General features: G+C 45.4%; 2 protein-coding genes and 1 long non-coding RNA gene across 10 annotated transcripts in view, besides 2 other annotated features; 2 read left to right on the top strand and 1 right to left on the bottom strand.

Moving 5' to 3' along the window:
* Positions 1-1,660, bottom strand: part of CENPO (centromere protein O) — a 28,952-nt gene extending 27,292 nt beyond the window's left edge. For 2 of the 6 annotated variants that reach the window (NR_136183.2, NR_136182.2), the window contains exon 1: positions 1,565-1,660. Coding sequence is in view for 3 of the 6 variants with exons in the window: in NM_024322.4 (NP_077298.1) it covers positions 1,120-1,165 (46 nt within the window). In the remaining 3 variants the exon portion in view is untranslated. Of the gene's footprint in view, positions 1-1,119; positions 1,234-1,564 lie in introns of all 6 variants that reach the window. The other 4 variants (NR_136184.2, NM_001199803.3, NM_024322.4 and 1 more) reach the window with 3 other exon arrangements.
* Positions 1,604-2,033: an enhancer, noted in NCBI's record as "active region_15435". NCBI's record gives its function as "activates an Ori minimal core promoter by ATAC-STARR-seq in GM12878 lymphoblastoid cells {active_cell/tissue: GM12878}" and the evidence as "EXISTENCE:reporter gene assay evidence [ECO:0000049][PMID:35858748]".
* Positions 1,694-5,357, top strand: PTRHD1 (peptidyl-tRNA hydrolase domain containing 1). The gene is made up of 2 exons (NM_001013663.2): positions 1,694-1,959; positions 4,504-5,357. Exons 1-2 carry the CDS (start codon positions 1,708-1,710, stop codon positions 4,672-4,674), a joined length of 423 nt encoding a protein of 140 aa, NP_001013685.1. The 5' UTR covers positions 1,694-1,707; the 3' UTR covers positions 4,675-5,357.
* LOC105369164 (uncharacterized) lies at positions 2,010-4,493 on the top strand. 3 transcript variants are annotated; one of them, XR_001739341.2, is made up of 4 exons: positions 2,010-2,318; positions 2,501-2,701; positions 3,306-3,583; positions 4,352-4,484. It is a non-coding gene; the product is annotated as an uncharacterized LOC105369164 (long non-coding RNA). The 3 variants fall into 3 exon arrangements; XR_939843.4 differs by having other exon boundaries at positions 3,306-4,493; XR_007086245.1 differs by having other exon boundaries at positions 2,307-2,399; positions 3,306-4,493.
* Positions 3,795-3,874: a silencer, noted in NCBI's record as "silent region_11234". NCBI's record gives its function as "represses an Ori minimal core promoter by ATAC-STARR-seq in GM12878 lymphoblastoid cells {active_cell/tissue: GM12878}" and the evidence as "EXISTENCE:reporter gene assay evidence [ECO:0000049][PMID:35858748]".

The raw sequence follows: 23,100 nt of genomic DNA, 5'->3' as shown, positions 1-23,100 counted from the left end.
ATAAAGTCACCAAACTTATTTTTAGTCTTAAAGTAACAATAAATCTTACCCCATATACTTTTATTATCTAAAGTCTCAGCTTAAGTCATCTTAGGCTGAATATAGTTACTTCTCTGTTATCAATGATAATGATGACCCAGAGAAAAATAGGATAACCAAATTCACTGACGCGCTCAGAAATTCTTTTTAAAACTGTAATTTAAGTTAGGTTTTATGGCAAGCTTTCCCAAAGTACTAACGTAGAACCCTTTGGATTTAGGCATCAGGCTTGAGTAAGTATTTCAAAGTTCTAAAAAGTATTAGTAGCAAAGAACATAAAGTCACACAAAACCAGAACTGTCCACAAATATTACTAGGCACTAAAGAAGAAAGCAACTTACTCCTGGACAGAAATTCAAACGCAAATCTCAGTTTCCAAAGGATTGACTAAGGACTAAGTAAAAGTAATAGTTTCGTAATTCTAAGCAACTCTAACAAGCATTCTTTAAACACCTTCTACATTTTAAGACACAAAGTATGTAAAGAATTAAGCCTTTCATTGAATATTTCCTATATATTAGACATGTGCTAAATGCTTCACTTGAAAAGTCTGAGTTCAATACTTTTCCACCACAAAAGAAATACTTTTTCCACAACCACAACTACAGTGCTATTTTCACCTCCATTTTCCAGATGAAGAAACAGAGGCAGAGAATAAAGTGACTTGCCTAAGGTCACAATATTTATCATGGCAGAGCCAACACTCAAAACCAGTTCTAGCCAACACTAAAGTCACTGCCCTACACTGGCCCTCCCTCAAGAGTAATGCATACATGGCCCAAAAAATCCGGGGAGAGGAAAGGGACCTCCCTGGCTAGAACCGCAGTTCAGAATATAAACACTGAGCATATGATGGATGCAACTTATCCGTTTCAAAAGGGGTGGGAGCCTAGAAACGAAGCCATTTTTCCTCCTCGAATAATCTTGGCTGCCTGTCCCTTTGTCTTCAATGTTAGTTCCTTTCACTATTCTGCTCCCAAACAGGCCAGGTCCCACGTCAGTTCCAGGAGGAAAGGGCTCTCTCAGCCTGCGGGTCATCTTTGGGCAGCAGCAGGAAGGAGGCGGCGACCCTCTGAATACCTCCTTTGGACTCGCCATCTGGACGTAAAGGGTTCGCCTGCTCCATCTCAGATTCCCAAGGGCCTTCCCATGAAGTTGTCTAGGCAACCGGTGATAGGGACTCCAATGTCCTTGCTAATAAAAGAAAAATGGCAACAGTCACATCACATCTAGTCCCATTCAAACCCAGACGGCAGGGCACACACCACTCAGGCACAACCCCTGGGCCGCGGATGACACAAATGTCACGGCTAGGATCCCCTTTCCTGAGCCGCCCGCCCTCTCCCATCGTCCGAGCCAGCAGAGTCCATGCCCACCCCCGCGCCCATCCCGCGGCCCCGGCGCGCTCCCGAGGCCACGGCTACTCTGGTCCAGCGGGCTTCCCGGCCACGGAAGGAGTTTTAAGAAGGCCGTTCAGCCCGCCACCCTGGCCACGGTCCGGTCCGACAATGGGTCTTTCCCCTACCTTCTCCCTTCTAGCTCACCCAGGCCAGAAGCGAGAATTCCCGCCATCCACGTCTTCAAAACCAAACCAACCGGTCCCGGCGTGCTTTGCGATCCTGCCGTACAAAAGCATGGCGGCGCTCAGGGCCCCGCCCTGATCCCAAGATGCACCGGGGAGTAGGTCCGGCCTTTCGGGTGGTCAGGAAGATGGCGGCCTCTGGGGCGGAGCCGCAGGTCCTGGTACAATACTTGGTGTTACGAAAGGATCTATCACAAGCTCCGTTCTCCTGGCCGGCGGGCGCACTGGTAGCGCAGGCTTGTCACGCGGCCACCGCGGCCTTGCACACTCACCGCGACCACCCGCACACAGCCGCTTACCTCCAAGAGCTGGGGCGCATGCGCAAAGTGGTCCTCGAGGTGAGGCACTCGGGCGGAGGGGGAGGTGCTGAGACATCGAGGGCGGAAGTGGGTGTGGTCTTCGGTCCGAAGGCCTGGCTGCGGGGAGTGGGTGCGGCGGGAGTTGGGGTGATCGTTAACATTTAGACTGGAGCTGTTTCCCTGGAGGTGCGCCCTTGGGAAGGGCCTGACTGTGTGAAGAGTGGACAGCAGTCCTCCGCCCCCTGCTGGGCTCGCGGTAAAGTGGTGGCTCCTGTGTCCCCGCTGTTCCGCCTGTGCACTGGCCGACTTTTTAAAGCCATGCCCCAAAGTGCTGTCCTCCTGCAAAACCGAGCCCGAAGGGACAGTGCAAAGTGAAGTCAAACTGAGTATTTACCTGGGTAGGACGCCAAATTATTTGAAAATAAATACTAAAAACGTTAGTATAAATTGAACCTAGCTTCAGCTAGACCAGGCACCAGGTGTGTAAATCGGTACACCTTTTAAAATAGCAGTCAGGTTCTGTTTGCAGATGACCAAACAAATCTCACCCTTACCCTTTGACTCTCTATCCTGCTGCTAGAGATGTAGCCTAAGAAAATAATCAGATGCACCCAAAGAGCTTTGCACAAGGATATTCATGGGAGCCCTTATGGTTTTGAAGCATATTTAGTGGTCGGGAAGAGTGCTCATGATGCGAAGCTAACTGAACTATATATACAGAATGATCCAGACTTTGAAAGGAAAAACTAAAGAAATACATCTACATATTAAGTAGTGCATGGTGAGATTTTGGTTATTTCCTAATGCTTAATCTGTATTTTTAAAATTTTCTACCTTAAGCACATATTTTATAATAAGGAAAAACGGCTTTAATAATAAACGGCTTTTTATAATAAGGAAAAACGGCTTTAAGCCAGAACTCAGGTGGAGGGGTGGAGTAATCCCTTCATGGGTAACTGACAAAGATAGATTATCTTTCAAGAGAAAAATTGCTGCTGGATAGTGAAACATCAAGCGGTAACCTGTAGGAAAAATGCCTTGAGAATCTGTGTAGGCAGAACAGAAGCTGCTGGCTTTTCACTTAGATTTTCTTCCTAGTAAGAGGTCTCAAGAAATCAGGTTAGACTCCTCTTGTCGCAGGTGAAACTCTCTGAAGCCTACAGGGATTAAGTGACTCCCCTGAGTTTAAAAGAGGGTCTCATGATTCTTAGTTGTTAGTCATGACTCAAGAAAGGGACTTAGGAGTCGCTACTGATTACATTGAGGTGCCGCTGTAGTCAGAAGGGCCAATAAAATATAAGAAAATACCAGGATTAACTACATTTATTGAGTGCTTAGTGTGTGCCAGGCACAGGTCCAAGCCTGATTTCATTGATCCCCATTAGGAAGCATTATTCCTGTTTTATAAAGGGACGAAGAGGCCAGCGAAGTCACCTAACTTATCCACGATCACACAGTCAGCAAGAGTTTGGAGTCCAGTAGTCTGATTCCAGAGCCTCACTGTATCTCACTATGCTCTGCTGCTGCCCGAGGCTGAAGAAGCTGATGAGTCCTCCAGCAGAGCTCTGCCAGAAGGACTCAGCAGGTTAAGAGTCGCAATACTGGCATTCTCTAATTTATTAAAACAAGCCTCTGAGTAGCTTAGTGGCTTCTGCCTTCATAGGTAAGAGATAAACTTTATGCAAAATAACACAAAAATAATAATTTTCTGAGTGATCGTTTTAATACTTCCTGGAATGGGATTCAGCATGGGTGAATTGGCAGTAAGGATGACCCAGAAACAATTTCAGAAGGATGTTAGAGAATATTGTACTCTCCCTTTAATAAACAAGTGGGAGCCATCCCAGCAGAAGGAAAACCCCTCTAGGTTTCAGTGAGGTAGAGTGGGAGGGGTGGAGGAAAGTGGAAGTGGATGTGCTTTTAGAAATCCTTCCACTAGGGGCCGGGCATGGTGGCTCACTCCTGTAATCCTAGCACTTTGGGAGGCTTAGGTGGGTGGATTGCTTGAGGTCAGGAGCTCCAGACCAGCCTGGGCAACATGGTGAAACCCCGTCTCTACTAAAAATACAAAAATTAGCCAGGTGTAGTGGTGTGCGCCTGTAATCCCAGCTACTCGGGAGGCTGAGGCAGGAGAATTGCTTGAACTCGGGAGCCAGAGACTGCAGTGAGCTGATAATCGTGCCACTGCACTCTAGCCCAGGCGACAGAGCAAGACTCTGTCTCAAAAGAAAAAAAAAAAAAAACTTCCACTAGGCAGCTCTTAAAGTCAGAGGCACTTAAAATTATGGGCGCCAGCCATAGGAGAGCTGGAAAATGTATAGAGCAGAATTACACATTACACATGTGTGTGTTGGGCATACAACATCTCACAAGGGAAGATACAAATCTCCATTTTCTAAACTGGAATATGAAGCCTCTCTCCCCTCCCCAGTGCACCACGGAATGACATCATTGCTCTGCAGCTCCCTCCTTGGTAAAGCTGTTACTCCACTTTCAGGCAAGAGGACTCCCGAAACCTTTTTTGGCCTTTTGACACTTCCTAAGTGGGCTATTCAGTTTGTGTTCTGTGTTCTTCTCCTTTAGGCCCCAGATGAGACCACCCTAAAGGAGCTGGCCGAGACCCTGCAACAGAAGAACATTGACCACATGCTGTGGCTTGAGCAACCAGAGAATATCGCCACTTGTATTGCTCTCCGGCCCTACCCCAAGGAAGAAGTGGGCCAGTATTTGAAGAAGTTCCGATTGTTCAAGTAACTGCTGCTTTGATGTGTTTGAATACGCAGGCCACCCATTCCAAAGCATCATGTGTTCCTTGCAGTGTCAGCTTGCTCCCGTCTTTCAGTTGTGACAATTTCTTGAGGGTTAAGCACATGTTCATATTAAAGTTGTCATTAATAACTACTTCCTCTTATTAATAAGTTCAAGTGGGGAAGGTGGGAGAGCAGTATTGTCTGGGGATCATTGCTCAAATAGAAGATTTGGTTAGACTCTCCTGTGGGGCTCAAGGAAACTCCCTTCCAGTCACTCGGGTTTGAAACTTTGCTTTTGAATTCCTTCTTATTCACATCCAGTTATCATATTTCATTGAATCTAAGATAACATCAACTTTAAGATGCGGTAGTATTTTATGTATTGTTAAAAAATATGCCGGCAAATTAAACACTTGTATTTCAATAACAAAGATGTTAAAATTTGGCCAGTGTGGTGGCTCACATCTGTTAATTCCAGGGTTTTGGGAAGCCAAGGCAGGAGGATCGCTTGAGCCCATGAGTTCAAGGTTACAGTCAGTTCTAATCATGCCACCGCACTCCAGCCTGGGCAACAGAGTGAGACACTGTCTCTATAAAGATTAATAACAAGTTAAAATTTGTGTGTGTCTATATATATGTACATACATACAGATTTATTAGATTCAATGAAATCTGTCAAGTACTACAGCTGTTTTCTTGTCATTTCAGTGCCGTTGCCCTGTGTCAGCCTCTCATTTTGCTCACTGGCGTGTCCCACGGTCTGTTCACCGCCAGTGTGACACTCCAATCCAGCAGCTGCTTTGCCACCACATAGGACGACTGAACACCTACCTGTGTAGTCTAGGCTCCTCTCTGCCTATGGAGTAATCCCAGCACTCCTTAGCTTAGACTTCAGGCCCTCCTCATGTGTATTTCCTACCTATCTTTTTTGTTTTTTCGAGATGGAGTCTCTCTCTGTTGCCCAGGCTGGAGTGCAGTGGCGCCATCTCTGCTCACTGCAACCTGCGCCTCCTGGGTTCAAGCCATTCTCCTGCCTCAGCCTCCCGAGTAGCTGGGATTACAGGTGCATGCCACCATAGCTGGCTAATTTTTGTGTTTTTTTAGTAGAGACGGGGTTTCACCATGTTGGCCAAGCTGGTCTCCAATTCCTGACCTCAGGTGATCCGCCAGCCTCGGACTCCCAAAGTGCTGGGATTACAGGTGTGAGCTACCGTGCCCGGCCTCCTACTTATCTTTTTAGTTGAATCTTCTATTCCCTTATTCAAACTTGATGTTTCCACAGAGTCCCTCCAGTTGCTATTCTCCAGTCTCTGGCATGGGAGTTGAATGTTACTACTCCTCCCCTCCCTTTCCTGCCCCTGGACTTTACTTAAACTATTTCCAGCTCAAGTGCTATCACTGCCAAAAATTCTTACCAAGCCAAAAATGATAGTTCCTTCTCTGAACATCTGTAACACTCTGTACAACGTTTACAATATTTCTATAAACATTTGGACACATCTACAGAAATTGCTTAGACATCTGTGAAGCAAAGTTTATAAGGGGTAATTTGTTCAACAGATATCTATTGTTTGTCTGCTGTGGCAGGCTGTGCATAAAACAGTTTTGCCCTCAGGTAGCTAAGAACCTATACGGATATTACCCGTCCCCCTTAGATAATGTTCTGCTAAGATCCCAGATAAGATTTCCCTTCATGGGCCCGGTGCAGTGGCTCATGCCTATAATCCCAGCACTTTGGGAGGCTGAGGTGGGAGGATCACCTGAAGTCAGGAGTTTGAGACCAGCATGACCAACATGGTGAAATCCTGTCTCTACAAAAAAAAAAAAAAAAAAAAAAAAAAAAAAGATTTCCCTTTAAGAAAGGTGGTCACCTGAATCAAGGAGAGTGGATGGGTCTCTCTCACAGGGAGAGTTGGTAGAGTGCTGAGGGCAGAGCCAACCCCAGGAAGCCAAGTGAATGAGGAGTTGAAGGGGTAGAGAACAATCAAGTGCAGCATAGAATGTCAGTAAATAAAACGTGGAAACATTTAGCAATTGGGAATGTACTGGTGAACTTAGTGAAGTTTAAATAGCATAGTGAGGGTAGAAATCAGATTGTAACATGTTGAGACAAGAATGGGAGGCCAGGCGTGGTGGCTCACACCTGTAATCCCAGCACTTTGGGAGGCCAAGGCAGGCGATCACGAGGTCAGGAGTTCGAGACCATCCTGGCCAACATGGTGAAACCCCGTCTCTACTAAAAATACAAAAATTAGCAGGGTGTGGTGGCAGGCGCCTGTAATCCCAGCTACTCGGGAGGCTGAGGCAGAAGAATTGCTTGAACCCGGGAGGCAGGGATTGCAGTGAGTAGAGATCGTGCCACTGCACGCCAGCCTGAGCGACAAGAGCAAAACTCCGTCTCAAAAAAAAAAAAAGAATGGGAGGGGAGGGAGGTAAGAGGTGAGAAGTGTCCTTTCCAGAAGCTTGAAAGGGAGGAGAGAGAGGATAATGACTGAAAAGGGGCTGGAAAGATCAATGCTGGGTCCCCTAGTGGGGATTTTCTTAGATCTTGAGCAGGATGATGGGTGAGGAGGAGAAAGTAAGGAGAGGAGAGATTAAGAGATTAAAGTTCCCAAATAGAATAACTGATGAAGTCCAGAGAAAACAGGAAGAGATGGGGTCAAAGGCTACGGGAAGAACTGGCCTTGAACTGAGAGAGGGGAAACTTCTTTTCTGAGACTGGTGGAAAGGCAGATGGTGAAGATATAGATGTACGTAGGTTTAATAGATTGTAGGAGAAAGAAAGTTGAAGTTGACCATACCTGCTGACTTTTTTTCTATTAAGTAGGAGGCATATGCACTATACTCAGCAAACTAAAGCAGCAACAGAAAACCAAATACCACATGTTCTCACTTGAAAGTGGGAGCTAAATGATGAGAACACATGAACACACAGAGGGGAACAACACACACGGGGACTGATTGGAGGGTGGGAGGAGGGAGTGGATCAGGAAAATAGCCAGTGGGTTCTAGGTTTAATACCTGAGTGATCAAATCTGTACCACAAACCCCCATGACGCAAGTTTACCTATAAAACAAACCTGCACATCCTGCACAGGTACCCCTGAACTTAAAAGTTTAAAAAAGTAGGAGGCATACGATCTTTCATAACACTGAATAAACTTATTGAGCACTATATTAGCTAGCATAACAGTGAGTAGGAGCCTAGGCTTTGGTGTCAAACTGCTTGAGTCCAAATCTGGGTCTCATACTTTCAAGCTCTGTGGACTTGGGCAGTGACTCTATTTCCCTGAGACCCAGTTCCCTTATCCGTAAAGTGGGGATTTAAATGTGTTTGGATGTACAAACCCCTTAGAGCAGTGCCTGGGACTTCGTGCTAGAACCTAAACTTGGGAAGATGCAGATGGCACAGCCGTCAGAGCTGCCCTCCAAGAGTTCTCCATCAAGTAGGCCATTGTCTACCCCTTTCTGTTAGGGAGTGATGCCATCCAGGAATCATCAAGTACCATTTCCATTCAAGCCAATTAGGAAAATGTTTCTAAATGACACTGCATCTTAAAAAAAATTAAGTTCTGAATTCTTCAGTAAGACATAGTATAAAGCTAGACAGGCCAGGTGCGGTGGGTGGCTCACGCCTATAATCCCAGCACTTCAGGAGGCCGAGATGGGCGGATCAAAAGGTCAGGAGTTCGAGACCAGCCTGGCCAACATAATGATACCCCGTCTCTACTAAAAATACAAAAAAATTGCCGGGCGCAGTGGCTCACACCTGTAATCCCAGCACTTTGGGAGGCCGAGGCGGGCGGATCATCTGAGATTGGGAGTTCGAGACCACCCTGACCAACATGGAGAAACCCCGTCTCTACTAAAAATACAAAATTAGCTGGGCGTGGTGGCCTGTAATCCCAGCTGCTCAGGAGACTGAGGCAGGAGAATTGCTTGAACCCAGGAGGTGGAGATTGCGGTGAGCCAGAGATCGCGCCATTGCACTCCAGCCTGGGCAACAAGAGTGAAACTCTGTCTCAAAAAAAAAAAAAGTTAGCCAGGCATGGTGGCACGTGCCTGTAGTCCCAGTTGCTCGGGAGGCTGAGGCAGTAGAATCTCTTGAACCTGGGAGGTGGAGGTTGCAGTGAGTCGAGATCGTACCACTGCACTCCAGCTTGGGCAACAGAGTGAGACTTTGTCTGGGGGTAAAAGAAGCTAGACAGAAATGAGACACAGCTGGGAGTTAGCAGATTTAGGCAAATCCGTAAAGCAGAGATCTGAGCACAAATAGCATAAATGTCTGCCCAAGGGTGGGGAAGAACAGGAACTCATGCGCTGACGCTGAGTGAGAGCAAGACAGCAGCAGGAAAGCAATAGATTTTCTTATTGGTATCAGCTTAAGACCATGATCATTTGAACTAGATCAGTGGCTCTCAAAGCGGTGGTCTGGTCCCTAGATCAGTACCACTTGGGTACTTGTTAGAAATGCAAATTATCAGGCCCCACCCCAGACCCACTGAAGTGGAGGCTCTAGTGCTACCTAGAAACAGCCTGGGCCCTGGAGACAGCCAACCTAAAAGAGGAACAATAAATGTGTGTGGTTTAGAATCAACACATTATGAGAGGGTATTAAGTGCTCACAGGAAGGAGTCAAATAGCAGAAATCTGGCACCAAGTGCACTGTATTTGGCCATGCATACTAAGGTTACAGAAAATTATGATTTCTCCAACAGGGCAAAGATGTGCTGCAAACCCTAGAATAGACGCTATATCCTTGAAAACAATCTCCTATGCTTTCATAGATTTCTTTTTTCTTTCTTTCTTTTTTTTTTTTTTTTTTTTTTCTGAGACAAGAGTTTTGCTCTTGTTGCCCAGGCTGGAATGCAGTGGAGCAATCCTGGCTCACTGCAACCCGTGCCTTCTGGGTTCAAGTAATTCTCCTGCCTCAGCCTCCAGAGTAGCTGGGATTACAGGTGCCGGCCACCATGCCCAGCTAATTTTTTGTATTTGTAGTAGAGAGGGGGTTTTATCTGTCACACACATCCCTGTGAAGAGACCACCAAACAGGCTTTGTGTGAGCAATAAAGCTTTTTAATCACCTGGGTGCAGGCAGACGGAGTCCGCAAAAGGAGTCTGCAAAGGGAGATAGGGGTGGGGCAGTTTTATAGGATTGGGTAGGTAGTGGCAAATTACAGTTAAAGGGGGTTTTTCTCTTGCGGGCAGGGGTCACAAGGTGGCCAGTGAGGAGCTTCTGAGACTCATTGTCCAGGAGAAGGAATGTCACAAGGTCAACTGATCAGTTAGGGTGGGGCAGAAACAAATCACAACGGTGGAATGTCATCAGTTAAGGCAGGAACTGGCTATTTTCACTTCTTTTGTGGTAATTCAGTTGCTTCAGTCCATCTGGAGGTATACGTGCAGGCTTGGGCTCAGTGGCCTGACATCATCATGTTGTCCAGGTGGTCTTGGACTTCTGACCTCAGGTGATCCACCCGCCTCAGTCTCCCAAAGTGCTGGGACTACAGGCATGAGCCACCATGCCTGGCTGGTAGGTTTCTTATATGTGAAAAACATTGTATAATTAACAAAGTGCTCCCATATGAATCAATCCTGACAATTGTTGTGATGCAGGCCATCTAGTCTCAGAGTTTACAAGATTCAGAAAGGCTTTGACTTGCCAAGATCAAAGACAATGGCAGGACTGGGATTGAAAAAAAGGTCTTTTGTCAGTTCAGTTTTTCTTTTTTCTTTTTCTTTAGATAGAGTCTTATTCTGTCACCCAGGCTGGAGTGCAGTGGCACAATCTCCGCTCACTGCAACCTCCGCCTCTTGGGTCCAATTGATTCTCCTGCCTCAGCCTCCCGAGCAGCTGGGATTACAGGCATGCACCATCATGCCCGGCTAATTTTTGTATTTTTACTAGAGACGGGGTTTTCCCATGTTGGCCAGACTGGTCTCATACTCCTGACCTCAAGTGATCCGCCCACCTTGGCCTCCCAAAATGCTGGGATTACAGGCATGAGCCACTGCACTCAGCAGTTTTTCTAATCTCTTGTAGTTGGTTAACAATTTGGTTTTCCAGCCATATAGATACTGGAGGGTAGTTTGAAAAGGGGTCACGAGTAGTTCAAGTGCTGAAAAGCTGTATCTTCCATTTTTAATTGGTTAATTGACATTCTGGATTATAAATCAGCCTCCTGCGACTGTAAGTTTTCTGACTCAACACCCTAGAGCCCAATTATCACTGGATGAGCTGACAAAGTTGAGTTTCTGAACTTATAAAGCTGAGGGTCAAAGCCTAGGTCACCGCTTCTCATGGCGCTGGCAGAGCGCAGAGGGCTCCCCTCCAGGGGCAGGTTAAGAATTGCCTGTTTTATTGTCTAATCAACACAGAACTTTCCCACAGGTTCTGAGATGCTGTCCTAAGGGTGTGAATTCCTTCTTGCTTCCTGATTGAGAATCTTGGTAGTAGTGAGCCATCGTAACCGACAGGAAGGTGTTAGTGTGGATAGATGGTTGAGAACCACTGCCCTCAGCTATGACTGCCTGACAGGTTTTAGCTGTCCTCTGAGGTCAAGCTTAACACAGCACCAGCTTTTGTCCTTCTTTAACATCCAGATATGGTGGGTTTTGACTGCTGGCCTAAGGCTGGATTTTAGCTGAAGGGATTTTTTGTTTGTTTTTTTGAGACAGAGTCTCCCTCTGTTGCCCAGGCTGGAGTGCAGTGGCGCAATCCTGGCTCACTGCAGCCTCTGCCTCCCAGGTTCAAGCAATTCTGCCTCAGCCTCCCAAGTAGCTGGGACTACAGGCACACACTGCCATGCCCCGCTAATTTTTGTATATTTAGTAGAGACGGGGTTTCACCATGTTGGCCAGAATGGTCTTGATCTCCTGACCTCATGATCCGCCCACCTCAGCCTCCCAAAGTGCTGGGATTACAGGCATGAGCCACCGCACCCGGCCAACTGAGGGGATTTTTAAGGGTCAAATAAGTGGCACCCAAGTTCTGATCCTAGGTTCTTGAGAAATGAGACAAAAAGCAGATAAACAAAATATCACTTTTTTTATCAATTGGTTAGAAGATATAGCTTTATGCGATGGCCTAAATAGGATCGCTAGTTCCCTATCTTAAGGAAAAGTGTGAGTATACAGAGTAGATACTTCACCAAAGTTGATGCTTCCGACTGGTAATGTGAAGTAAGGATAATAAGAACAAATTCCCCATATTCTATCAAACTTTGATAGATTGGTTCCACTCAATTGACAGACGTGGACCAAAGGCAATCACCCACCAACTAGGTTATTCTTTTAACCTCCATGAGGAGGAAGAGTAAGTTAGAACAATAGAATAGGAGCATTACGTCAATTAAAAAGGAAGAAAACACTGGTTGGCGATGAAACATTCTACCTCTGCCCCAACACTGGACGTAAGGAATAAGAAGTGCTCGTGATAAAAGTGGAAGATTAATCTGGCAACAGAGGCAAGATGTTATTTCCTGGGAATGGGAAGGAAGGCTGGGACATCAGTCAGGAGACTCTTTGAAATATTCAAGACACAAGACTGTGATGATGTGGCTGCAGGAACAGAAATTGAACCATAGGAAATATGCTGTTACTTCTTTGTGATACAAATGGAAAGAGCAAGGCAGGTGACAATCCCAGAAGACTTAATGTTAAGACTCAACTCTGCATGTAATGGCTAAGGAATTTAGCTTCAGTTTCCTCACCTGTGAGTAAGTTTTAGCAGGATTGTGAAGACCAGTTTAAACCATACCCTATAAAAGCACTATCTAACAATCACCACAATTTAGTCTCTTTTAATGCCATCTTCATACTTATTTCTTTTTCTCATCTTATTGCACTGGCCAGGACTTCTAGTGCAACAATAGCAGTTTAGCAGGTGTCTCTGACTCGCGATTGAGTTTAGTGAGAATGCTCTGAGACCTTCACTGTTAGGTATGTTATTTGTTGAGAGTTTTGACAAATGCTCTATTAGATTAAGGGGTTTATCTTCTGCCACTGGTTGGCTAAAATTTTTTTCAGTTAATAAATGGATGTCTTAAATACCCTTTCTGCATTTACTGACATCATCATGTGGTTATTCTCTGTTGTTACTGTGGTGAATTGTACTCCTAGACTTCAAATATTGAACCATCTTTGTTCCTGTGATAAACTCTGCTAGGCATGATTATTTAATGTGAGAGACAGAGTTAAGAGACTTGGTTTCCAGTCATCTTTTAGTCTTTAAAAACCATGACCTTGGCCAGGCCCGGTGGTTCACGCCTGTAATCCCAGCACTTTGGGAGGCTGAGGCAGGCGGATCACCTGAGGTCAGGAGTTCGAGACCAGCCTGGCCAACACAGAGAAACCCCGTTTCTACTAAAAATATAAAATTAGCCGGGCGTGGTGGCACATGCTTGTAATCCCAGCTACTCAGGAGGCTGAGGCAGGAGAATTGCTTGAACCCGGGAGGCGGAGGTTGAGGTAAGCCAAGATTGCGCCATTGCACTCCAGCCTGGGCAACAAGAGCGAAACTCCATCTCAAAAAACAAAACAAAACAAAAAACAAAAACTATGACCTTAAAATTAACCATATACTGATGTCTTCAAAATTTATATCTTCAATCAGCTCCCTACATTTCAGGCCCATATATGTCCAACTGCTGATTTTACATCACTTGGATGTCTAATAGGAATCTTAAACTTATCATGACAGAAAATGAACTAAGCCTGCTTCTCTTCCCCATCTCTGTTAGTGGCAACTCCATCCTTCCAGTTGCCCAGGACAAAAACCCAAGAGTCATTATTATTCTTATTTTGAGACGGAGCCTTGCTCTGTTGCCCAGGCTGGAGTGCAATGGCGTGATGTCTGCTCACTGCAACCTCTGCTTCCCGGGTCAAGCGATTCTCCTGCCTCAGCGCCCGCCACAAGACCCAGCTAATTTTTTGTATTTTTAGTAGAGACAGGGTTTCACCATGTTGGCCAGGGTGGTCTTGAACTCCTGACCTCAAACCATCCACCCGCCTTGGCCTCCCAAAGTGCTGGGATTACAGGCGTGGGCCACCGTGCCCAGCCGAGAGTCATTATTGATTCTTCTCACACACACCCCACATCTGGTATGTCACCAAATATGGTTGTCTCTACCTTTAAAATAGATCCAGAATCTGACCACCTCTCCCGATTTCGACTGCTACCCTCCCGGTCCAAATCATCATCTCTTGCCTGGATGACTGCCATAGCCTCCTAACAAGTTTCCTAGCTTCTGCATCTGCCTTCTCCATAACAACTCTTCACACAAAGCCCAGAGTAGCCCTGCTAAAACCCAGGCAAGAGCACGCCACTTTTCCTGCTTAAAATCCGGTAGCACCTTGCCGTCTCAGTAAAAGCCAAAGAACTGATTTGGTCTACAAGGCCCCACACCCTCCTGTCCCTCATTGCCTCTTTGACCTAACTCCTACAGTTCTCCTCGGTCACTCTGCTCCAGCCTCAAGGCCTTTGCACCTCTGCTTAGGAAGGTCTTTCTCCATATTGCCATGGCTCACTATCTCACATCCTTCTGGTTGTCACTCAAATGTTACCTTCTCTGAAGGCATGTTCTGACTTTCCTGTTTTAAACTGTGATCACTCCACTCCACTGCTTCCTATCCCCCCTTCCCTACTTAATTTTTCTCCACAGCCCTTGTCATCTGACACACCATATATTTTGCTTATTGGTTTGTCAGCCAACCTTCATTAGAATGCAAGCTCCATGAGGGCAGGGATTTGTATTTTCTTCATTGAGGTAGCCCCAGTGCCTGAAATAGTACCTGGTAAATAGTAGGTATTCAGTTAATATCTGCTGGTTGAAAATATATATATTTTGTCACTACTATTAAATTACTTGTGATATAATCATTATTTAAAATAGCTAATATGCATTTTTTTTTGAGACAGAGTCTCACTCTGTTGCCCAGGCTAGAGTGCAGTGGCATGATCTCAGCTCACTGCAACCTCTGCCTCCCAGGTTCAAGCGATTCTCCTGCCTCAGCCTCCCAAGTAGCTGGGACTACAGGCGCCTGCCACCACGCCTGGCTAATTTTTGTATTTTTAATAGAGACGGGGTTTCACCATGTTGCCCAGGCTGGTCTCGATCTCCTGGCCTCGTGATCCGCCCGCCTTGGCCTCCCAAAGTGCTACATTACAGGCATGAGCACTGCGCCCGGCCACTAATGTGCAATTTTAAAGACAAATCCTCAGGTCTAAAGATTCCCAGGATGACTAGCCACAACTTACTTTTGAGCTGGTAATGAATAAAGTGACTGAAGTCATCTCTTTACTTGGGGTTATAAAAATCACATACCAAAAGACTGATTAAAAACCTAGAACTGGTTCATTATACTATTCTTTCTACTTTCACAGACACTTAGAAATTTCCTTAATAAAAAGCTATTTAGAAGCTTTCAACTGAAGGTAGGATGAAAATTTAAAGCCTAAGCTCAGAGTCATGCGAGTCTTTAAATAGGGTGTGCTCTATAGGGAGCTTTTCCCCAGATGGTTTTGCTTAAAGTCTAGCTTGCTAAGTAATTATTATTTAAAGTATAATTGCTAACATTAGAAGAATGTTAAAATGGAAAGCTAATTTTTAAAATTTATGCTTTTTTTTTAAAATTTTTTTTGAGATGGAGTCTCACTGTCTCACTCTGTGGCCCAAGCTGGAGTGCAATGGCGCGATCTCAGCTCATCGCAACCTTTGCCTCAGGGGGTCAAGTGATTCTCCTGCCTCAGCCTCCCAAGTAGCTGGGACTACAGGTGTGCACCACCACACCCGGTTAATTTTTTTGTATTTTTAGTAGAAACAGGGTTTCACCATGTTGCCCTGGGTGGTCTCGAACTCCTGAGCTCAGGTGATCCACCTGCCTCGGCCTCTCAAAGTGCTGGGATTACAGGCATGAGCTACCGTGCCCGGCCAATTTATGCTTTTTTAAAAATAGAAGTTTGCAAGGCAAAAAGGAAGATGATCAGGAAATATGTAGCCTAAAGTTAAGTATAGGCAGGTATGTGATAAATTACTTTGGACTTGAAAAAGCAGCAGAACTGAGCAGGGCTGGAATGCTTCTTCAGGAATGAGGAAGGAAACTCCAGGCAAGACCTTTGTTCCTGTTAGAGGAAGGTCAGCCTGTTTGTTGATGTGTCCCTTCTGTTCACTTTCTGAGTTAAGTCACTCAGCTTTTAGAGGCATTGGTTTTAAAGGCCAAACTGATAGAAATTTCACAAGGAGCCATCTTATTCTTGTTTAATTTCAACATGAATTGCTTCTCAGCAGCATTTTATTGTAGGTAAAAGAGTGAATAGGACATACGAAAAGAAAAGAAAAATTTGGGGACCCCCAAACTCACTGTGCTAAAGGGAAAGTTAAACTTGTGAACTGAAGCACACAAAAACTTCCTTCCTTTTATTCTTAAACAGATAGCTGTGATTTCACATGCTGACCTTACCTTATGTGTAAAAGGAATGGCTGGGCACAGTGGCTCACGCCTGTAATCCCAAGGCAAGCAGATCACTTGAGGCCAGAAGTTTGAGACAAGCCTGGCCAACACAGCAAAACCTCGTCTCTACTAAAAATACAAAAAATTAGCCAGGTGTGATGGCACATGCCTGTAATCCCAGCTACTCAAGAGGCTGAGGCCCAAGAATTGCTTGAACTCAGGAGGTGGAGGTTGCAGTGAGCTGAGATCATGCCACTGCACTCTAGCCTGGGTGACAGAGGGAGATCCTGTCTCAAAAAAAAAAAAAAGAAAAGAAAAGAAAAGAAAAGAAAAAAATAAAGATTTATTGAGTGCAGGAAAAATGCATAATTGACTTTCCCCTACTCCTGTCTTTTCAAACGTAAAATGTGAATTCAGTGAGTGCTAATCAAAGCCTCACAAGAATGTAACGATTTGCCTTACCACCTAACCTCCCCCTTTCTCTTTCCTCCTACCCCTTCTGTCCACTCTTTGCCCTTTAAATACTGAAGTCCTCAAAACCATCTTTGAAAACAGTACAGGCCACAGATCCTATTGTAACTTGTATTTCTTTTTCCCATGCACAACCTCAACTGTGGCAAAGTAAACCTCTAAATCAGTTGAGATCTGTCTCAGACACTTTTTGGTTTATACTATATATTCATTTTTGTAGGGAAGACTGGAAGTGATTGTCTCACCGATCTGCCTTTCCTACTTTCTCAGTTAAGATGGTAGTCAACTCAATCAGCTGATTTTCAGTGAGAGGGTAATTTCGGAGAAGTGGAAAGGGTTTAACCCAAGCATATATCATCTATAAAGCTGAGAGCTTGATGAAGTATTGCAGATAACTGCTAATGTTCTGTAAATTCTCCAACGATGTAGAGGCTCCTAGAGTGTGAGAATTTCGAAACTCCTAGTGAAAGGGACTTGTATTCACTCACCTTTTATGAAAACAAACAAACAAACAAACAAAAAACAGTTGATACAGGAGCTAGAAAGAAATTATTTAGGTAGATAGTGAGGGCAACAGAGTCCTTGACGGATTTTCCCTTTTAACAAAAAGCAGCCCCCCCCACAATCATTTCTTTTCTAACAAAGAACAGCCTGAAAAATCAAACTGCAGTCATAGATAAGCAAGCTGGAAGCTTGCATGGGTGAATGCTGCCAGTTGTGCCAATAGAAAAGGGCTACCTGGGCTGGGCGCAGCGGTGGCTCATGCTGGTAATCCCAGCACTCTGGGAGGCCAGGGTGGGCGGATCACGAGGTCAGGAGGTCGAGACCATCCTGGCTAACACGGTGAAACCCCATCTCTACTAAAAATACAAAAAATTAGCCGGGCGTGGTGGCAGGCGCCTGTAGTCCCAGCTACTTGGGAGGCTGAGGCAGGAGAATGACATGAACCCGGGAGGCGGAGTTTGCAGTGAGCCGAGATTGCGCCACTGCACTCCAGCCTGGGCCACAGAGTGAGACTCCATCTCAAAAAAAAAAAAAAAAAAAAAAAAAAGGGCCACCTGAGGGCCAGGCATGCTCAACATGGAGGCTCCAGCTTCCCTTTGTCACCATGTGTAAAGAACCAGGTAACATGGCGCAGGCCAGTTAGAGAACCCGTCTGCATAATAAAAGATTAGTGTGGGACAACCACCTTCTTTGCATGCTATGCAAATGGTACACCTACAGTTCTCACCAGCTTTTTGTGTGCTATGTAAATGGCACAGCTGGTCCAACCAATCTTGTACACCCTATGTAAATCAGACACCTCTTCCTCAAGCTCATCTATAAAACCTTATGCATTTCACTGCAGAAGTGGCAAACCATTTCCCATTTTCTCCGGGACCCCTCTCTTTGCAGCAGAGAGAGTTTTTCTCTTTCTTCCAACTATTAAGGTTCTGCTCTGAACCTCACTCTTGGTGTGTCTGCATCCTAGTTTTCCGTGGCCATGAGACAACGAATCTTGGGTATTTATTTACCCTAGATGGTGATGCCGTTTCATAGTCATCAAGATGAAATCAAAATCCTGTCTTGACCTTTTAGACAAGTCTGCAACCTTCTATCAGCTCAACAATCCAGACTCTAGGGAGACAACTCAGTGCCAGTCTACCCACAGCAATTTTCCCTTATTTGAAATATTGCCTTTGAGTCTATTTCTTCAACCAGCATTTAAGATCCTACTATGTAGAAGGTTCGGCGGGAGGCTAGGGGTGGTAGGAGTGTGTGTATCTCTTCTTTAAGAGGCTTACAATTTAGTGAAGAAAAGAAACAGATGTACATATAACTGCATGCCAATGGAGACCCAAACACTGCAGCAAGGCAGAGCAAAGGAAGGGTTAATCAGAATGTGGGGACAGTGGGGGCTTCATGGCAAGGGCATCTCAACTGAAGTCTTTTTTTTTTTTTTTTTTTTTTTTTGAGATGGAATCTTGCTCTGTCGCTCAGGCTGGAGTGCAGTGGCGCGATCTCGGCTCACTGCAAGCTCCACCTCCCGGGTTCAAGCCATTCTCCTGCCTCAGCCTCCGAAGCAGCTGGGACTACAGGCGCCCACCACCACGCCCGGCTAATTTTTTTGTTTTTTTTTTAATAGAGACGGAGTTCCACCGTGTTAGCCAGGATGGCCTCAATCTCCTGACCTCGTGATCCACCCGCCTCGGTCTCCCAAAGTGCGGGGATTACAGGCATGAGCCACCGTGCCCGGCCTCAACTGAAGTCTTGAAGGATGAGTAGAAGGGAAGAGCATACAGGCTAAGGGGAAGAGACTGGGGATGGCAATGAAAGCGAGAACATGGTAAATTCAAGAATAAAGACCGGATCATTTTTGTGGCAGGACCTTTTTGTTTAGAGAGAGTGTAGAGGGCAATGAAGCTCAAAAGGTCACTGGATTTCAGATCAACTCTAGGCAAGAAGCAGACACTAAGATTCTGAAGGTTGTGTTTATAAAGATTTCTCTGATGATTGTGTGAAGGATGCGTGTAAAAGGCATGAAGGTGGTTACTGTAATCGTCTGAAAAAGGATAATTAAGTCTGGAATTCGGTCAGTGAGTAATAGGGCTAGAAAGGAGGAGATGGCTATGAGGCACTACAAAGTGGGACTTCTTGCAATTTAGTGAAATGAGTGGGAAAAAGTTGTTGAAAATGACCACTAGCAGGATAATGATGCAATTAATTCGGATGGAGATATAAGAACATATTTGTGGGGAATAAGTTATTTGGTTTGGGACTTAAGTTTGAGGTGCTGGAGGTGGGAGGGTGGGATCCATGTGGTAATGCTCACCAGTTGAAAATTTAAAACTGGATTATGAGAGAGATGTTGAAGAGTGGACTTAAGATGTATACATGTGTGAGTGGTACTGAGTTCAAGGGAAGAGCTGTTCAGTGAGAGTACAGGGCCCTGCCTGAAAAACATTATCCTCATATACATTAAAAACATGTTATACTTTGACAAACTCAAAATTAGAGCTCTGTTGGCCAGGTTGGTCTCAAACTCCTTACCTCAAGCAATCCCCCCGCCTTGTCCTCCCAAAGTGCTAGGATTACAGGTGTGAACCACTGTGCCTGACCTAGATTTGTTTTCAAAATGGAAACCCCTATGAGCTTGTAAGGAATTTGGAGTTCCAGAGAATAATTTTTAACTCATCAGAATTCCCACAGTCATTATGTCATCGTCTTTTTTTTTTTTTTTTTTTTGAGACGGAGTCTTGCTCTGTCACCCAGGCTGGAGTGCAGCGGTGTGATCTCAGCTCACTGCAACCTCTGCCTCCTGGGTTCAAGCAATTCTTCTGCCCCAGTCACCTGAGTAGCTGGGATTAACATGCATGTGCCACCACGTGTGGCTCAATTTTTATATTTTTAGTAGATGGGGTTTTGCCATGTTGGCCAGGCTGGTCTCGGACTCCTGACCTCAGGTGATCCGCCCGCCTTGGCCTCCCAAAGTGTTGAGATTATAGGCGTGAGCCACTGTGCCCAGGCAGGTGCTTTTATCTCTAGTACTTGTATTGTGCAGTGGAACCACTGGCAGGTTTCATTCCAAAGCCCAAGGATTGACTCTTGGGCCGAGCGCTTGTTAGTCACTTGACTATAAATCTGAGCTTCAGTTTCACCATCTGTAAAACGGCCTACTGTAATTGCTTTATAGGATTTTGCAGATCAAATATGTGAAAGTGCTATACAAATGTAAGAAATTATTCACACAAAAGTGGGTTACTAGACTAGTACATTGCCTGGCAGAGTAAAAATAAAAAATCTGTTAACTGATGTAGAATCTCCAGTTAGGAAAGAAGCAGCTTCACAGCAGTGTCTCTGTACTTCCCACACTGCTGTACTGTGTCAGTACAGCAACAGCTCATCAAAAATGGAATAAAGGCTGGGCTCGGTGACTCACGTCTGTAATCCCAGCACTTGGGAGGTCAAGGCAGGAGGATCACTTGAGGCCAGGAGTTCAAGACCAGCCTGGGCAATATAGCGAGACCCTGCCTCTACCCTCCCCCCAAAAAAATTAGCTGAGTGATGCACTTGTAGTCCCAGCTACTTGGGAGGCTGAGGCAGGAAGATGGTTTAGGCCCAGGAGTTTGAGGCTGCAGTGAGCGATTCTCATGCCATTGTACTCCAGCCTGGGAGAAATCCTGACTCTAAAAAGAAAAAAGGAGTAAATACCATACCGTAGTCTCGGGGTTTTGCTTTACCTGAGGGCTCCTTGGCACTGGAATGGGAGGAAAATCTGATGGAACAGAAGTTATTCCTTTCAACGTAATTCTTCTTTTCTCAAGCCAATGTCTCAAGTTTGTTATGGACACCTGTGGGCACTGCTTGCTTCTGCTGGTTGTACAAACTACCAGTTCAGAGACAAGCATAAACAATTAGACCAGGGCCAAACTCCACAGCATAAGAGAACGATTCTTTGTCTGCAGTAGGATCAAGAGTCAGGGAAAGGCAAGTTTTTCCAAGGTCTGATCCAATAAACCTACTATCCTAGGGTGAACTGTAGGGTCCTAAAATTCCTCTGCCTCACAAAAAGGATCCTCTGTCAGTCATTCTTATACCTGCCCCAGAAGGAACTCACATTTTCCAAAATTCTTTTAAGCTAAGGGGATGACCCTGTAGTTTCATAGACTCCTTCTTCATTCCTTGTTTAGATATGCAGGCACAGAATGCTTCTCCCAAACGGTAGTGGGACACCCTGCTGACCACATGCCAAAGATAACCCCTATTTAGTTGAGGCCTCCAAAGGGCAGGCTCTGACCACCTCCAGAGAAGGGGCCGGGTCCTCTCTTCTCAACCCCAGAGTTCTTGCCTGTCTTTTCAAAGCTGTTTTAGTTATTTCACATATGAAAGCACTGCCTAAGATCAAAAAGAGATTAAAGTCTACAGACTCAGAATCCATACTAAATCATATTGTCCAGGATAGTGAATCCAGAATTTGGAATTAGACTTGGTTTCAACTCCCAATTTCCACTGATAAATGGTAGTGTTTGTATCATAACCCTTTAGAACTTGTTTTCTTTTTTTTTTTTTTTTGAGACGGAGTCTCGCTCTGTTGCCAGGCTGGAGTTCAGTGGTGCAATCTCGGCTCACTGCAACCTCCGCCTCCTGGATTCAAACGATTCTCCTGCCTCAGCCTCCCAAATGGCTTGGATTACAGGTGTGCGCCACCACGCCCAGCTAATTTTTGTATTTTTAGTAGAGACTGGGTTTCACCATGTTGGCCACAATGGTCTCCATCTCTTGACCTCATGATCTGCCTGCCTTGGCCTCCCAAAGTGCTGGGATTACAGGTGTGAGCCACTGCACCTGGCCTTTTTTTTTTTTTTTTTTTTTTGAGATGGAGTTTCGCTCTTGTTGCCTAGGCTGGAGTGCAATGGTGTGATCTTGGCTCACTGCAACCTCCACCTCCTGGGTTCAAGCAATTCTTCTGCTTCAGCCTCCTGAGTAGCTACCTACTCAGGCGCACGCTACCATGCCCAGCTAATTTTTTTGTATTTTTAGTAGAGACAGGGTTTCATCATGTTGGCCAGGCTGGTCCTGAACTCCTGACCTCAGGTGATCCACCCACCTCAGCTTCCCAAAGTACTGGGATTACAGGCGTGAGCCACTGCACCCAGCCCAGAGCTTATTTTCTAACAACTCTCTACAAGGACAGCAGAGGATTAAATGAGATAATGTCCAGAAAAGTATTTTAGAAATTGTTACAAACTTATTGTCTCCGAGTACTTTTAATACTGTCACCAGCTACAGACTACTGTGTAGAAGATACAGAAGCCTGTATTTCTGGCAGGACAGGGCTAGTTGTGGAAGAGACTTTAGGTATGAGCTGAAACAATTTTCAAGTGAGGATCCCAATGCCTAGTGCTGTTCCTCCTGGAGCCATGGGCTGACGTAACTCTAATGTAGATGCCAGCTCAGGAGAGTGCTAGTTAACAACTTAAAACAAGCAGCTCTCTGGGGCTCCTCCCTGTCTCCAGGCCTTCCCATGTGCTGCCTCTCACAACTCTGTTCACTGGCTCTCCACTGAGCTACCTCCTCATCACCTGCAAACCTCACTTTGAATGCCATTGCTTCCTCAAGGGAAACTGCCTTCGCCTCCAGATGAGGCCCTGCTTACAAATTCCTACTTGGAATTCTCCTGTGTGAATTCCACAGTTGGAATTAATCCAGTTGTGGTTATCTTGATCTAAGCCCCCTGATGTGAATATAAGCTCCACTAGGGCAGGGCGCATGCCTGTCGGGATCCTTTCATATCCCCAGTTCCTCAGATAAAGACAATACAATGTGTTGAATGAGTGAGTAAGGCCAGAACTTTGTGTTCCTTCAATCTTGTTAAGAATTCTGGGGGCAATGAAAATATAGAAAGAAAACTAATTTAGTGCTGGCAGAAAGGGTTCTGGACAGAGGCACGCTTCCTTTGGCAGTTTTCTCCAATAAAAATAATTTATGGGCTTAATTAAATCATCAAGATCTTCAGGGGCACAGGAAT

Source organism: Homo sapiens, chromosome 2 (genome assembly GCF_000001405.40).
Source record: "Homo sapiens chromosome 2, GRCh38.p14 Primary Assembly".
Classification (NCBI taxonomy): domain Eukaryota; kingdom Metazoa; phylum Chordata; class Mammalia; order Primates; family Hominidae; genus Homo; species Homo sapiens.
The sequence above is the reverse complement of the archived record's forward strand: the minus strand, read 5'-3'. Positions and strand labels throughout refer to the sequence as shown.